Source organism: Homo sapiens, chromosome 9, assembly GCF_000001405.40.
Source record: "Homo sapiens chromosome 9, GRCh38.p14 Primary Assembly".
NCBI lineage: Eukaryota > Metazoa > Chordata > Mammalia > Primates > Hominidae > Homo > Homo sapiens.
In genome coordinates this window covers 79,887,899-79,905,642 of record NC_000009.12, presented here as the reverse complement: position 1 = coordinate 79,905,642, position 17,744 = coordinate 79,887,899, and the positions used below count along the sequence as shown (strand labels likewise).

Here is a 17,744-nt window from a genome sequence, read left to right as displayed (position 1 = left end):
ATCTTCAGCTCATTCTTACCTCCATTTTTTTTCTGACTGATTCTGAACTCCAGTTATTTCTTATATTTTAACCCTAGCTCAGACACACAACTTTCAAATACATTTAAAAGGATTTTTTGAAGTATTGTATCTGCCTTTTTAGCACTCTCTACTCTGGAATGGACTAATACACATGAGCTGTTAATATAGGTTATTACATTAACAGAGAAGAGAAAAGAGTAAAGAGAAAGATTATAAAATATGTTGTTTTGTATTTTTTCACATACATTTCATAAATTTGGGAGGAAAATTTAATGGTACTTTTGCAAAATAACTGTAACATAGAGAAAACATTTCAAAAAAGTACTCATGCAATCCACAGGGATCTCAAGCATCTCTAGATACTGAGATGAAGTGAGCTGAACTGCCAGAAAGTTACATTTTTGTACACATTAGGGTTATCCCTAAGAGTGTAATGTTTACCTTTAGCTTTTATCAAATGTCATCATATAGTCAAGCCATATGAAATTTAGTATTTTATCAGTTATAAAAATGTGATTGAGGTCAGTTTTTATTACATCACTCACTGCCCTCAAGGAATTATATAATGGCTTAAAGCCAAATTTGAAAGCCAGCTGTGGCAACAAGGTTTAAGCCTTATGATGTGGATAATTATGATCTCCTTTTTATTTGATCCTGATATTTTATATCTTCTTTGTCACTCTCATTTTGGTTTGCTATGTTATAAGCTGCCTCAAATCCTCAAAGGGAAAAAATAGGCAAATAGATTTTTTTAAAGAATGTGTGTTGAGCAAAGGAGAAATAACCTATAACCTTAGTATAATGACAAATATTGATTGAAACAATTAGGAGTGATGTAATTATTATTTAATTTGGACTTTGATACAGAATGGTACAAAAAGGCAGTATATACTCATAGAAGCAGTATAAGGAAAAATCAATAGGCTGAAATTCCAATTTTGAATTAAACAAGCCAACCACATAACTTGATTGTGCCTCGATTTCTTCATTAACATCTGCCTTTTCTACCTCACAGGATTACAATAAAGGCACACACACACACACACACGCACGCACAAAAAGATTGTTTTGATTCTTCAAAAGATTGTTCTGATTCTCATATGAAGGAAAGGAAAACAGCATTTACTAATAATTTTGCTAGGTATTCCATCTAAATTATCTTATTTAATCCACAGTACAACCCTCTTTGGTAAATATTATTATCCCCAATTTGCAGACCAGTAAACAAAGGCTCAAACTTACACAGTTATTAATCAGCAGTGCAGGATTTCAAACTTACATCTATCATAAATGACTGATACAGTCACCATACCAGGTGAAGCTCCCCATACGGGAAAGGTACTCAACAGATGTTTTGGACTTCACTTATTGCTCAATACAAAAGTCAATGCCTTCTGTATTAAGCAATCATATGGAATCAATCATTTATTTTTGAGTATCTACTCCACAACTTGCAAATCTTGAAACTTACATCCCTTAGTGACAGTTCATGGGCTAAGACTTTAATGAGGAAGGACCTGATTTAATGTAATAGTTTTCTGATTGTTATTAACAGCAACTTAAAGGAAGCAAAAACAGACTTTTTGCTAACAGGGCCAGAGATTGAGTTATTTCTCTAGCTATCCCTAATATAAACCAATTTCTAGCACTGCAATTTAGGAAGCCAAGCAAGGGTTTTTAAAATTGGAACGTCACCATCATTTCACCTTTAGAAGCAGGCTAGTGAGAGCTAACCAATAGCCTCATATCAAAATAGTCTGAGAAAACTCTGCATCCACACACTTCCATTGCTTTTTCCCAAAGATGGCACAACAATTAAAAATCCTAAAATGCAAAATGTAAAAGGAAGCTTCATCATTGACAAATGGTAGAAATATCGGCCCACCGCCTTGGAACCCCTTCTGAAGCAAACCCAGTAGAGAAAAGCAATCAGTACCAACTGGAGAACCTATGCAGTTCCCATCTCCTCAGTCCTCTATGGGAGCACTTCGTTAAATGTTTCTAATAACATAAAGCCTGAATTTGCATTCTTCCTATATAAGAGCTTGAAATCAATTTATCGTCAGGCAACAAGTATTTGTCCCTTATATCCCCTGGAAAATAGTTAATATATAAAAAATGTTGATAACTTCTATTTTTAATGGAAAGATTTAATAAATATAATTTCATGTACATGGAGGGAGAAGGACTATGAATTCCAAGGCAGGCCAGGCCTGTCAGGAGCAGCATCACTTCTAATCCTGCCCAAGCAGACAACGTGATTGTATATCCTCATTAATGCGATAATTGGTATCTGGAATCTGTTCAAAAATGCCGATTTACTTTGTAACAGAGGATTATGGCTGAATTTGGAGTTCTTTATGGTCTGCAGATGCTTGTGAAATTCAAATATAAAAACCGTCAGTTAAACATCTCATGAAAAGCCATACCTTATACTAATCCAAAGGAACATGAACAAGTGCTTGAGGGGATGAAAACCCACAATGTGTTTCGGTAGCTAACCACTTACAGAAACATTAACATTCCTGGACAGGGTTGCTCACTGAGTTTCTAAAGTAACTTAGGAGCTATCAGGATTCAGTTCTTAACAGACTTCAACACAGTAGGGGGAAAATTGTCAGTCACAAGCCTCCAGTATTTATGAATTATTAATGTTGGCTTTCTGGGTATTTTTTTTTTCCAGTTTTGCTTTTGTGTGCATGTTCAGCTGAGTAATTCAATAGACTGATGGAGACATGAATAGATATGCTAACTAGCACCAGGGTTAACCTTTAAAGTTCGTTAAAGCTGTCAGCTTTCAATGAAATATTTTCACGTTCCTTTTTTTTTCTGTGAACTGGAATATAAACATTATTTGTACACTGGGATCAGAGGTGCTTAGGAGAAAAGGAGACTCCACCCTGGCATCAATTTTTTTTTTAAACCAAGACACCACTAATGGATTCATCAAGAAAGGCATCTTTAAAAACATTTCTCATTTACAAATCATGCCACCAGAATATATTCACGGCCTACCTTTATTACAGTATTTTTCAACTGAAAAAAAAAAAAGTGATGGCATGTCCCTATTGCTACAAAAACAGTGGAAAAAAGGGATAAGATTTAGAGAAGAAATATGGAAAGCTAAGCAGTGTGCTACATCAGTGTGTGGGTTGCAAAAGGAACAAAAAGTACATCTTACGATTGTGGTAAAGATGACATATAAAGCTGGTAACCACCTTTTGTCTAAACAGAGATTCTTTGGAAAAACAGGGAAATAAGGAGGCTCCTAATTAAACCAATTATGAAGTATTCAAAATCTTCAAGGATTTTGTATCTACATATACTTGCTAAACAAACCTAAATAATAAAACTCATAATAGCACCCTTCCTGCTTCACAATCTTTCCTGCTACTCTTTAACCATAAAGTACTTTACTGTCTCTTGCTATGGAATCATCTGTCACCTGACACACACCTGGGCTATTCCACTGCCATGTCTAATGACTGCACATTTCTAAGTCCTCCTTTCATCTCAATCTCTATCAAAACAAGAAATAAGGCAATGTGAAATGAAAGAGGAAGACATGCTGCTTTTGAAAGTCTTTAACTGCCCACCAGTTTGCAACAATTCCATTATTAAAGATATAGAATAAGAAAGCTGCCCATTCTTGATGTGTAACAATAAAGATGTAATAAACCTAATAACTCAACCTTATTCTAAAGGGAGCTCTATTCTTCAATTTTTTTTTCCATCACATTCCTTTGAGGTCAGCAAGACAGATAAGAGAATGGTTTGATCAGCTTCATAAAAGTAAAGAAAAAAATTGAAGCAAAGAAAATTTGGATTACTTGCCATCGTCCCAATGCTCTTAGAAATACTTCAGCTTAACCCTTTAATCCTTTATCAGATCAAGGACAACTAGCCCCACATCTAATTTTCAAAGTAATTTTTGTCTACCAATAGATGCTCCAAATTAGGGGCCCTGAAATATGGCCCAGACCCCATCTCTTCTTTCTCAGTATCTATGCCTTTAGAACTGCTCTCTCTCACCAGGATTGAAAAAAAAAAAAGAGCTCTTGGAGTTTATTATTTATTCTTCCTCCTTTCCTTCAAAACAATTTTTTCTCTTTTCTGATATCTATCTTTTATTATTATTTATAATATAGAAGCATATATCGGAGACAGTATTTTAAATTATTAATGCACTTTATTTGTTTTGCATTTCCAAGTACATGTCCTAGAGCATCCATACGCTTGGGGAGATGTGTTGGGGAAAGAAAAATAAAAATAAAGACTGACGTAATATTCAGCATCTGACATATGAAATAGGATATAACAGAAAGTCAATAAGCTTAAGAGCCATGCATTTTTTAGAGAGAAAGGATTTCCCAAGTGCTTTTATTTACTCTTTTAGGACATCAACAGCCAATCCTGAAGGACCCACGGCCATTGAGTTCTTCTTAGAGCTAAGAAAATTTTATTTCCCCCCAAGAAGGCAATGGCAGGAAAGCTCTTGCTCAACTGTAGGAAAACAAGATGCAGGTAAAGAAAAATAAAAGATTACCCATTTCTGGCTTGGGGAATTACAGAGAGCAGAAAGGGAAGAAAGAAATGAAGATTCAAATGTTCAGTCTTGGGTCTCCTGATTTTCTCCTCAGACTTTTGCCCAGAGGGTGATTTGTGCTGAATAAGCAAAGAAATCTCAAAGAAAGGTGGCTCTTGCCCCTTCTTCTCCATTTGGGATTGAAGGAGGAGATGACTATGAGGAAGGCCTCACACCAACATAAAGACACTCAGCCCAACTAAGAAAGCAACCCAGTGGCTAAACAGAGGGTGATCTGGGTTAAAACAACTCCTTCTCCCTGAAGGCCCGTGGGTTGTGGGTATCTGAGTTGAGAGTCAGCCACCCTCACATGGAGCCTGCTGTCCTGGGCAAGATGACACCACAGGGGAAGGTGGAACTGAGCAGACTGGTCCGAGGGCTGGGTGGGAGGCATGGTAGAGAACACTCGAGAGCCAGAAAAGGACAGGGACCCCTCCAACCCACTAACATGGAGACACCTCATATACCCAGGTGCCATCCTGGAAAGCAAAATAAGGAGAGACAGAACCTAAGTAATTCTACCTAATAGGAGTGCAACACGACCTAAAGAAACAGCTTCAATGTTTTCATCAGACCAAATTGGGTACTGTATTACATTTTCCCCACTCTCCAGAAGAGTTTCAGAATTAGCTCCTCAGGTGATTCTTCTGCACATTAAGTTTTAAGTTTAAGAACCATTACCCAACTTTCTAGCTATCCTTGCAAGAATAAAAACTATGTGAATCTCTGGATTAATTGATCATGAGAAGAGCAGATATTCTTGGTACTTGAGTTAGAAATTTCTCCCCAGGGCCCTCCTGGCAAAAATCCCATGCAATGGTCTTAGTAGTTACCTTTCAGGAGACACAGAAATGGGCTTCTTGAGGTTCTTCTAGAATGTTCTTTGCTCAATGCCGAGGACACCTCAACAAAGAGCAATTTGTTATAGATAAGCTAATGCCGAAATAACACTTGAAAGCTGAGGGATTCAGCTTCATGATTGAGCTTGGTAGAGAGGTAAGCTTTCAAATAGCTGATGGAATTGATGAAACAAATACACTTTAACCAAACTTCCCTTCATAAAGGTTGTTTCAGCTTGATTTTTGCTAAATGGTGGGTGGGCCTGAAGCTAAAAGGGTGCTCATTATGGGGCTAGTTTATGTCACTTTTTAAATAGGCAAGTATCTAGGCAGACAATACAGATTAGTTTGATATCTTTTTATAAAAATGGAGCCACTTAGTAAGAGCTAACAATGCTGTATAAGTTTGGTAGGGCTGACTTAACAAAGTACCAGAGACTGGGTAACTTAATGAACAAAAATTTATTTTCTCACAATTCTGGGGCCTGGAAGTCTGAGAACAAGGTGTCAGCAGGGTTCATTTCATTGGAACCCCTCTTCTTGGCTTGTGGATGGCCCTTCTCCTTCCTTTTTACTTGGCCTTCCCTCGGTATACATCTGTGTCCTAATCTCCTATACAGAAAGTGGTCATATTGCATCAGGGCCCACTTATAAGGCCTCATTTTACCTTAATTATCTCTTTAATTGTCCTATCTCCAAATACCATCACATTCTGAGATACTGGAGATTAGGACTTCAGCATATCAATTTTAGGGGACACAGTTCAGCACAAAACAAATGTCTAAATAGGAGATCATATGGCTAACCATAGAGATAGGTTCAGGAGTGAACACATTCCTCAAAGTCACACCACCAAGATTCTGTTTCTCTGGGGAAAATGATGTTCTCTTCATCCATGGGGATTATCGGCTATGGGAATATAGCCAGGAGTCGGTCAAATGTCCATTCCTGTGCCTAAGGTGGGCTTGAGCCCCTCCACCTGAAACACATGAACTGTGTGGGGAGGTATGGCACACAGTCAAGCATGTTCATGGCACAAAGTTAGCAGCAGAATGTTCAGATGGGTGAATGAAGCTAGGATCTGCTCCAGTCTCCAGGCCAGGTGCCCCAATCTAGGGCATCTGCCTGGAGGGATCATCCCTTTATAAATTCACAGAGAATCACCGTATGCATTAACAACCCTGGTATTCTTGTCAGGAGGTTAGGGATGTTTGCCAGGCAGGCAAAACTACCAGAGGTCCACTACTCCTTTCCAGAATGCTTCCATCCCAGTCCCATACTCTTCTCTACATTTTCTTATATGTACTTTCTATGTTTTCTATGGGCCCCAGGTACATAAACTTTGGTTCACTAATTGCACATATGTAAGGTTCTATGTTAAACTCTCCAGAGCTCTTGTGTCTGGAATTGTGTCCCATGTTCCCAGGCCCATGGGGTCATTCCCCATTAAGCCTGAGGCTACTCCCGTCATCACTCTCACATCTTTCACATCTCATACATCTCTCACACGCAAGCTCCCTATACTAAAGAGTCTTTCAATCTCTACCCCAATCCTATCCCTCAGTGCCTGAGGAGGCCTAGCTGCTATGTGCATCTACCTTTCAGGTTCAATGTGTGTGCTTGTCTGTATGTGTATGAATACTTTTTGATCAAAGAAGTAGAACTGGTATGAGTGGTCTCAGATAAGGAATTTCTTGTAGTGGTTACACTGTAGGTAATAGTGGGAACTGAAGAAGCAGTCTGTGCAATTTCCATAGGTCAGCCAGGTTGCTGTAGGGCAGGAAGCTGGATGAAAAGAAGAGCAAGAACAAACTGGAACATGGGAGATCACACTGGAACTTGCATCTGCTTTGCACCACTTCCAACCGTGTTGCCACGGATGATCTGCAGGACGAGCTGCATCCTTCATTAAGGAGCAACACGCATATGGGACCCAGAGTTCACAGAACCTGAAGGAGTAGCTCTGGTGGGAGGTGCAGGTGGATGGGTGTGGGTGCTGCCCCACAACAACGAGGTGAGCTTGCAGAAGAGTTACAGTGTGCATGAGCTGCCTCCGTGCCTGGCATCCTGTGCCAACCTTCCAAAAATAACAAGATGGCTGTGGCTTGGCTTTGGCCTTCCAAAACTTGTGTGAATTTTTCTAGTGGCCAACTTTAACCGGGTACCAAATAGGAAAGAGTATCCTGGGACATGTAGTTCCAAGTAGCTATGCTCACACAATACAAGTCACCAGACTTAATACATCTAAAATTATTAATTCACTTATAAAGCCATTGTCCACTTTTTAAACTGCACTATACTTAAGTCCATATTAAGACTCGTCTAAGAGGCTAGGCATTGTGGCTCACGCCTGTAATCCCAGCACTTTGGGAGGCTGAGGCAGGCGGATCACAAGGTCAGGAGATCGAGACCACCCTGGCAAACATGGAGAAACCCCGTGTCTACTAAAAATACAAAAATTAGCTGAGTGTGGTGGCATGTGCCTATAATCCCATCTACTAGGGAGGCTGAGGCACGAGAATCGCTTGAACCCAGGAGGCAGTGGTTGCAGTGAGCCAAGATCACGCCACTGCGCTCCAGCCTGGCGACAGAGTGAGACTCCATCTCAAAAAAAAAAAAAAAAAAAAAAAAAAAAGACTCTTCAAAGAAAGATGCACCCCACACTAAACTGTATAAACCATGGCTGATAATTAAACATAGGCCAATATCTTCGGCAGGAAATGACCATGGAAAGATTATGTTGAAAGATAGTCATTTCTGAGCCTTAATATGTCATATTTTGTGCATTTGCCACAGTTTATATAATGATTTTACAGAAATTATTACTCAAGCATCCAGTTCTCCCCCAGGTTCTGTAGGGTGCAAGCCCTGCTGACCCAATATGTAACAATATGTAATACCTCACAGGGCTCTGAGTCCTACTCTCTTGGGTCTCCCGTCAGTTTCATTTTTACTGAAAGTTTTGGAAACCTTAAAAGGTCAAATTGAAGCTTTTTCCACATTGTAAGTCACCAACAGTGGAGATTCCTAATATGTAAATATAGGGGATTGATTAAGTATATTTTCATTTCATCCATATAATGGAGAACTATTTTGCTATTACAGCTGATATTGTAGAAAAGCATATTTAATTACTCAGTACTATGTTAATTAAAATGAAGCAAGTTACATAAGAAGATAGTCTCATTTTTGGAATCCATAGCCCATATATGTGATAGAATTGTCCACATGGAGATAGGCCAACTCTAGGTGCTTGGCTGTAATATTTGTTGCTGGCAGCAGGGATTCATATGAAGGAGAGACATCAAGTACATATAGGATATGAACTAACTTAGGAACTTGGTTTGTCTTTTATCCTTCCACTCTATTTGGCTTTAGAAACTTCAAGTGCTGCAAGATGCGTAAAGTTTATCTGGATTATCTTGTCATTTGGAGCACTCAAGTGTCTGCATCAATATGCCTTCGAATCACGAGTGCCAAATGAGAGCGATACTTTGTGCTTCTCACATAAGCTTCTTACCAAGGATCCCAAAGCACCAGCAAAATGTTAGTTTTGCCTCCCATTGCTTCTCTGAAGAAACTCAGGAAAAAGCCTGGGGCAATTTGACTCATAAAACTTACCAATTAATCCAAAGATAAACTGTCAAGGGCATGCTTTTACAAATAGATGTGGTTATTCCCAGAGTCCATTCTCCCAAAAGATGTGAATCCCACAGAGTTATAAAAAGGATATGGAAATTAATAAAACCTGGATCCTCAGTCTAACGAGTACAGATATACATAGAAGAATATTACGTGTATCTGGAAAAATACCAAACTTCTTGGCCTCCTATGGAACACACAGGACTTTTTTTTTCTTTCTGCATCTTTGTGCTGGCCTTTCAACTTTTAAAATCAAATAGCGATCCGTTACTATGTAAACTAATCATAGGAATGCAATCAGAGATAAAACATTTTTTTAAATATAGGTCTGTAGTCATGTGATGCTGATTTACATTGGCTTTAGTGATTTCTGGATGGAAGCTACTCTTTTTAGCCCCCATCTTGCTTTTACCAGCATGAGGCATCCACATGGTACACGTCTTACCCAAGCTGGTCCCATAATCAGTGTCAGCAACTGACACAAAGACCTTGGTCTCCTCACCTCGCTTCATACTCCTATATACCAAACTATTTTTCTCTCTATTATTTTAATTCCAACATTATGATGAGGTCGCACAGGTCTCATAACTATAAACTTATTTTATGTCAAAATCCAGGATGTTTTGAAAGAATGAATCATCTTCATTAATAGGCCAATATTTTAAAGCCTATAAATGTGGTAATTGCTGAAATGTATCTATTTTTGGTTGATTTTGGCTTCCATGAAAAAATTTTCTTTCAATGTTTGTTTATTCATATGCACAATTTTAAGAGCCTAGGAGTTCTAAAAAGCCAAGAGTTACTAACTGTTCTCTGGACGTGGTTAAGAGACCTCGCCACTAATTTAGTGAAATAAGTTATAATAGGATTTATACATACATGAATGAATGTGAATCATATTTTAAAACCTGGGATTTTTGCCCCCGAGAATGTGGAATTTTTGGTTTTATTTTTATACCACACATTTAACTTTGAAATAAATAGGTTGCTACATACCATAGTAATTGTGGATGGACAGGGGTCACCAGGAAACAATAAAACTGTCAACACAAACTAATGACAACTGAGCACAGGGTAGCAAATAGGACATGAGTGTTTTATGAGAAAAGGTCAGGAGGTTCAAGTCACGGGGAAGAAAGATGGGTTGTGCCATCCAAACCGAACGCACTTTACAAGTTAATTAGGCTTCTAGAACTTGTTCCAGATGGCAAAGAAATAGCGTAGGAGACGGATATACACCAGCAATAGAGGAGTCAGGGATGAAACACAAAGCAAAGTCTGGCATTGAGACTGGGGAACAGGTAGAAAATTAGGAACAGAAGAGGACAGAGATATGGGACTTGGGACAGTAAGGAGAGATCAGGGCAACATAAAGCCAGAGGTGAGGGGCTGAGCAATCCCATGGAGGATCATGAAGTGGGAAGATAACAGTGGCCTCAGGGCAAGGCATGTAGCTACAGGGCATGCAGTCAGCAGTCTTCACTGGCTCTTTTTTTTTTAGACAGACAGGGTCTCACTCCATCACCCAGGCTGGAATGCAGTGGCACAATTATGGTTCATTGTAGCCTCAACTTCCCAGGCTCAGGTGATCCTCCCACCTAGGCCTCCTGAGTAGCTGGGACTATAGGCACAGGTCACCAGGCCGAGCTCATTTTTGTATTCTTGGTAGAGGCAGGTTTTCGCCATGTTGCCCAGGCTGGTCTCTGACCCCTGAGTTCAAGTGATCCGCCCACCTCGGCCTCCCAAAGTGCTGAGATTACAGGTATGAACCACCATGCCCAGCCTCCACCAGCTCTTTATGACCACATAGGACAGATGTAGACAACAGCTAAACCTCAGAACCAGATGTGGTGCTGTGCAGCAGGATTTCCAAGCTAAACTAAGAGATGTTGAGTCAAAAATGATGCATGTATGTTCTCTCTGTGTCTCAATCTGCTGACCCTCAAACACTTACTGTAAATTTTTTAAGGATCTCATGAAGTCAAATTAGTTACATACAAACACACACACACACACACACGCACACACACAAAATCCCAAATATTTATTATAACAATATGCATCCCATATACGCTAAATTATAAAATGATCAATTGCAAACATTTCTAAATCATGTGCTGTGACTTGTCACTGCAGTGTGAGGTGGGGCTGGGACTAGGGTGAGATGAGCAAGACACTCACTTCAGGCACAAAATTTAAGGGAGCATCAAAAATCTCAGGGACGGAGAGATAACATTTTCATGAAATATTTTTAAAAGATTAAAATTAATTTTTCCATGATGGGCAAAATATCAACATTTTGATATCTATTTTTCAAAAAGATTTTAGAGTCTCCATAAATTTTTCACTCAAGAGTCAAGTGCCTCACTGAACTTACCCTGGAGTGAAGTGTTTGATAATAGGATAGGGCATGCTTAACAGTCCTCAGTCTTTCTTAGTCTCTCTTTCTGTGAAGCCTCCAGCATTTCTGCAAAGCTGCAACAGTTGTAGGTCTTAGGTGCGAGAGTCCCCTCCAAACTCCAGTCCTCTGCTGCTCTGAGTCCCACCGATCTAATGCCCTTGTTCTAGAGATAGAGCTGACATTATAAGAGTCTGCTGACTTCACGTTACCTAAGTCCTGTGTTTTCCCACAGGACCAGAAGTTCCAAGGCAACTGAGACCCTCTATCTTCACTTTCATGATATCGCACATACATGTTCCCAATAAATATTTGTTAAGTAAATGAGGAACTCTTCCTTAGATCATACTCAGAGGTGAACCAAATCAGAGACAAAGCACTCACAAAATAAAAGAAAAAGGTAATGGCAGTTGACAAAATGAATTAGCAGAGTTGCTTAAACTATGATTTAAAGAATTTAGATTTAGAAAGATCCCAGTGGCTTAAAAAACAAATCAGCAAATGCATGTGTGACACATGTGTCTAGAGCAGGAGCGCTTTGCCTGAGGTCCAGTACAAAAATGGCTTTGAAAGGACAGAATCCTTGAAATTGATTGCAAACTGTATGTACACATTTGAGAGCAGACAAGGGATTGAAGGCTCATGTATGTTTCAAAGTTTTCTTCAGATTTGGTGAAAAATCACTGTGCTAAAGATTATTATAAATGGCAAAACTCATCCCAGATGGGGCTCAGTAAAACTTTTTCTATAAAAGTACTACTAATTATGGTACATTCAAGGTGAACCTGGTGGGCTTTTCACCCATCTGTGGAAGTTTTTAGGGGCTCCAGTGATACTGCTCTTTAAGTTCTGTTACTACCATGAGGACCAAGAACACCTCTCTCCATAAGTGTTCTCAAGTCAATTATTCAGCATGTGCTTGACAGCCTGGAGCTCTGCCCGAGACAGATAGAAAAATCACATAGAGTATCCCAATATTAGAGCACTTTACAAGCAGCCCTCACCTCTGGTCATTCGGCAACTTCACCAGCATTAGGGGGAGAAAATGCCTGTGTGTGGCCTCTGACTGTGTTTTCTTTACCTGTTAGTGCTTTCTCCTCCTCACTCTGCTATCCCCTTTGCCCCTGAAATTCCTACCCACCGAGTGCTACAAATGTTCATAAGTACAGAAAACTTAATAATTCTAAGGATTGGCAGGAAACTTTGAATCATCTAACCCAGAGGTTTCCACACAGAACCAGGGGATTAGAGGAATGTCAAAGGGGTCAGGTTTTATTTCCCACCCTCACTCCTGCCTCCTCTCACATACACAGCAGTATTTGTGTTCTATGTAATATTTAATTGGGAAAAAAATAGTTTCAATTATAAAGGATACACTCATTTTGCAGAGGAAGAGGCAGCATTCAGCCATTCTACAACTCAGGACTCTTTTGGTAGCAATGAGAGGAATGCAAGTCAAACTGCCTTGAGGGGAAAAAGTGGAGGGATTCACTAGCTTATTAATGAAAACTACAGGGCCCCCAAGAATCACTGGCTTCAGGCAAGGCTGGATCGGGGACTCACAAAGCGTTCTTAGTACTGATCTCTCTCCATCTTGTGGTTCACTTTTCTCTGCATTGGCTTCATTCTTGGTCTGACCCTTCTCTGTGGTTCCAAGACAGCTGAAGCAAGCCCCAGACATTCATCCTCTCACCTTAGCAGCTTCAGCAAACAGAGATCCTACCTGCACAATAGTTCCAGATTAAGTCCTGAAATGGAATCTCATTGTCCAGGGCTCTGTCATATGTGCATTCTTGAACCAGTCATTGTGGGCATGGAACATATTGATTGGCCAGACCTGAGTAACATGCCCACTGGAGCTGGAGCAGAAGATCAGCTCCATCTGAACTGTGAGAAATAAATGTGAAGGGTGAGTGTTTTCTCAGAGTAAAGTCAGGGCGCGGTTAGCAAAGACTATGAAACTGAGTGGTTTGAATAAACAAGTATACAAGAACTGGACCACACGGCAAATGGGAAGGCTGAGTGATATGCCCAAAGTCAAATATAATTCAGGAGTGACAGAAACAAGACAAAACCCTGTATTTCTTTATTTCCAATCCAGGTGAGTATATGAGTTTGTTAGAACTGCCATAACAAAGTACTACAGGCTGTGTGGCTTAAACAACAGAAATTTATTTTCCCACAGTTCTGGAGGCCATATATCTGACAAGATGGTATTGGCAGGGCCGGTTTCTTCAGGAGCCTCTCTCCTTGGCTTGTAGACAGCCATCTTATCCCTGTGTCTTCCAATGGTCTTCCCTCTATGTCTCTGTCCTAATTTCTTCTTAGATGGACACCAGTCACACTGGATTAGAGCCCAAACATACGGCCTAATTTTAACTTAATCACCTCTTTAAAGGTCCTATCTTCAAATATGGTCACATTCTGAAGAACTAGGAGACTTCAGCATATGAATTTGAGAGGAACACAATTCAACACATAATGGTGGATTTTATTACACCAAGAGGGTAGTTTACGTAAATGAGTAAACATAAACACACAGAAAGAGGCCAGGCACACAGATAAGGGTACGAATGCATACACTGCCCTGGCAATATGTGCACGGAGGAACATACATGTACCATCCCGATACCTCGGTGCATACACATACCCCAAAGATAACCATAATGAGTCAACTGCCAGTTTCCCTCCCAAATTTCACAAATTAAAGATTTTATAAACCCAACTTGCAACAAATCTAACATTTTTTTCTGAGTAAACTACTTTACAAAGTAGCAAGTTCTTATATTAAATTTTTATTAAATAAGATAAATTTTTATACCATTTATACAAATGTCAGTTTCAACATTATCTTTTTCACACTCCTTATGCACAGGGCAATAAGGAATGGAAAGTACAGAGATTAATTTAGGTAACAATTACCATAATTCACAATTGCATTAGCGCCTATTAAGGTTCATTGTTCTGTGGAAATTTTAATGATACATTCCTGAGTGAATAAAAGCAGAAGATGATTGGAAATAAAATTGTTTCTATGTATGCTGACAGGACTGCTGAGTGTAATTATACATTTTGGAGGCGACCTGTTTGGAGTTTACTCCATAATTTTATGTAAATGTTAAATAACTTCACGTGTCTTCCTCCCAGGTTAAACGCTAATTTGTGTTATTTCAACAAGGGGAGAGCTTCGGGGTTATTAACAGACTTACTCTGCCGATGAAGCCAAAGTAGCTCCACATTCTTTGAAACCATAGAGCTATTTTTTAATTTTTCTTCATTTTACATCTTATTAGTGCGCTGGCAAACTTTTAGTTCTGAAAACAGCTCCCCATTCTTAAAATTGGTAGCAAAAACCCCAAAAGTGAGAATTTTTTCTCTTAAATACAATCAAGCTCATTCACCATGCTGGTTTGCACTGACTGCTTCTATCCAAAAGAAAACAGATAGAAGACCTTGAAATACTCTTCGGTACAACAATTTTAATATATGTAGATACAGATGGCTCAATATGTCTCCCAGTTCCTAGAGACTAAAATGAAGCCAGCACATAGTAGGTGTTCTTAAGTATGCATTGACTATATGTAGGAAACCCCCCCATCTTTCCAAACCCTCATTAAACAAATGAGAGTTAAGCCTGCTGAAGCATAGTAGACCTGCTTTGTTTCTGCGGAAATGTTCACCCTTATTACCCACATGTATATTTCCCCAAGTCAACAAGGAACCAGAACAGGCATAAATGGAGAAGGAAGAGGACAGAAAAAACAACACATCCATTTAAGAGAGATGAAAAACTAATTATAATTTCTTCTAAAATTTCATTATCACATTGTCACTAAAATTTCATTATCATTATCATCAGTGCATTGTAGAAATTGCACTGATGACTTTTCCAACATTATGTGTAAACATAAGTATATTGTTCAACATTGGGATAATCTAGACTATGATTTTTTTTTATTCGTTTGCACAATTTTTAGTCTCACAAATCTCTGGAGATCAATATCCTACACTTCACTATTGCTTGGTCATATCAAATTATTTTTCTTTCAGATATCTGTCAAATACCTAAGGTGTCAGTGAGAGAATGTTGATTTTTCTATCGGTATAACAGTTTGTCAGGTCAAAGCCCCACTTTGAAAAACATTCCCCAAATAGAATATCATCATGAATGTCATCATCAAAATCACAATCAACAAACATTAACTGACTTCCTCCATGAGGCAAAGGCTTTATTCCAAAAGAAGCTTAAGTCTAGTTGGTAGAAACCATAAGCCATAGTAGGTCTATAGTTGTCCAAATTGCATAGGTTATTGCCTAAATTGCATTTAAGTTCTCTACGTGCATTCTACTTTCCTTTGTGAGATCCTATTTCTCCAGTATCGCCTTCTCTGTTCTTTCTATTCCAAATGTGCTTATGCCTCCTGTTCTACTAATGCAAAACATGTTTCATAGATAGTTTCCTCTATCTCAAGTTTTGCCAACTTTATCCCAGTTTCACAAACACATATACAGAGATGTCACATGTAGTGATAACATGGCCTAGAGTAAGATAAAACATAAGCCAATAGTGGATAAATTTTAAAACAAGGCACTATTTTGGTGATTCAGATAACAGATGTCAACTCAGAATATATAGTGACACATATCAGGAGGCAACTGCTGCTGAGAATTTAGAAACTACAAATAACTATTGAATCATTTCCCAAACAACTCACCATGCTAAGGGAAAAATCAAAAATAGAAGTACATTCAGTACTTCAGTTTGTCTCCAAAGTTAGGGGTATTGATATATTTTTATTCTTAAACACTCTTTTACTAATAAGAGTTAAGTCTATACTTCCTCGCTACAAGAACTAAGTGTCCTTGTCAATATCTGTCTTCTTACACAGTTATATTTTCCAATAAAGTACTTAAATTCTTGAAAATGTAATGTCAAGTTATTTTTTAATATATCTGTCTTTCTCACTAGAACCAAGCTGAATGGCAGCAGGAACTGTCTCTATCTTATTTATCACTGTATCTTCAGGACTAGAAGAGTCTCTGGCACAGAGCAGTTGCTTGATAATTTTTTTTGAAAGAGTAACTGAAGTGTGTGTGGTATTTGGTGGCAAGAGGGTTACTTAGATATCTGATCACCTGCAGGCATCTGGAATCACCAGCCTATAGAAGGCAGAGGTTTGGGGGATCAAGTAGTGGTACCTTAGAATATTTTGGTAGAAATAAGGAACATAATGGGATTGGTTAGTTGCTTCCAAGTAAAATAGAGAACTTAGGGAAAGAAAACAGTGAAGTCGGGGCTTTGAATTCCCAGCTCAAGGTCTGCATAAGGGAGCAGAATGCTTCAATGAGTACCTTTTTTTCTCCTGTAGACATAGGGCCAAGATTTCTGAAAAACAAATTCAAAGTCTGATCTTTCTGGTGGCTAGATTACAAGGCAAATTGAATTCATGTTGAACTTGGTACACTGACTAAGAGTGAGACTCTCTCTAACAATTAAAAGGGGACATATGGACAAATTCCAGTGAAGCTGGAGACCATGAATCTCTAAATTCTTCAGAGCCCCTTTTGCAGATGGAAACCCTTTCTCCAAGATTAAAGTTAGTATTCCTTTGCCTTAAAGATTGTGATAACTTCTTTCAAGGTAATTGTCTTGCAAAGGATTGCCAACCTTCCTGAAAACCTTCAGTGCCTCTTGTTTCTACATTTGTAACCAGATTCAAGTCTCACCAGGCCCCAGAGTGTGAGTTACAAAGTGTGAACCATGAGAGGATGCAAGTTACATCTAAATATTGCAAGAGTTTATCAATTTATATAGACAGAAACCCGAGGAACATGCATGGAAATGGATCCTAAGGGTCTGATCAGGAGGAAAGGAATATAATATTGGACAAGGATGAAATCTTGATATAGAAACGTTAAGCCAAGATTCTGGACTCAATGTGTCCGTTTGAGTGGCTCTAAGAGTTTGCTTGGTTAATTGACTAAAATGTGGTGGCCTAGACTAAATCCAGGTGAAATGCCAGAACTCCACTGGTATGTTGCAGAAGGTCTACAGGGCCCAGGGAAATTGAAATGCTAGAGTAGATTTCTCATCGAAGAACCACTCACCTACCCGCTAAACTACATCCAAGAAGAGTCCAAAAGACCCTTTACCAAGGCAGTGAGAAATATAATTGTAAAGGGAGTCACAGCATCCTGAAAGGGATCCTCAGTGAAGCTCTTCTCTGTACACCAGTAATGACAGTTAGAACAGTTGCAA

At 39.0% G+C, this 17,744-nt stretch overlaps 2 long non-coding RNA genes across 3 annotated transcripts in view; both read right to left on the bottom strand.

Moving 5' to 3' along the window:
• The window catches only part of LINC01507 (long intergenic non-protein coding RNA 1507), a 210,026-nt gene that overhangs the window by 128,913 nt on the left and 63,369 nt on the right, over positions 1-17,744 (bottom strand). The window lies entirely within an intron of this gene.
• LOC105376100 (uncharacterized) lies at positions 13,634-17,721 on the bottom strand. Of its 2 annotated transcripts, none has more exons than XR_929984.3 (2): positions 17,594-17,721; positions 13,634-16,871 (listed from the first exon to the last, which is right to left on the bottom strand). It is a non-coding gene; the product is annotated as an uncharacterized LOC105376100 (long non-coding RNA). The 2 variants fall into 2 exon arrangements; XR_929983.2 differs by having other exon boundaries at positions 17,598-17,721.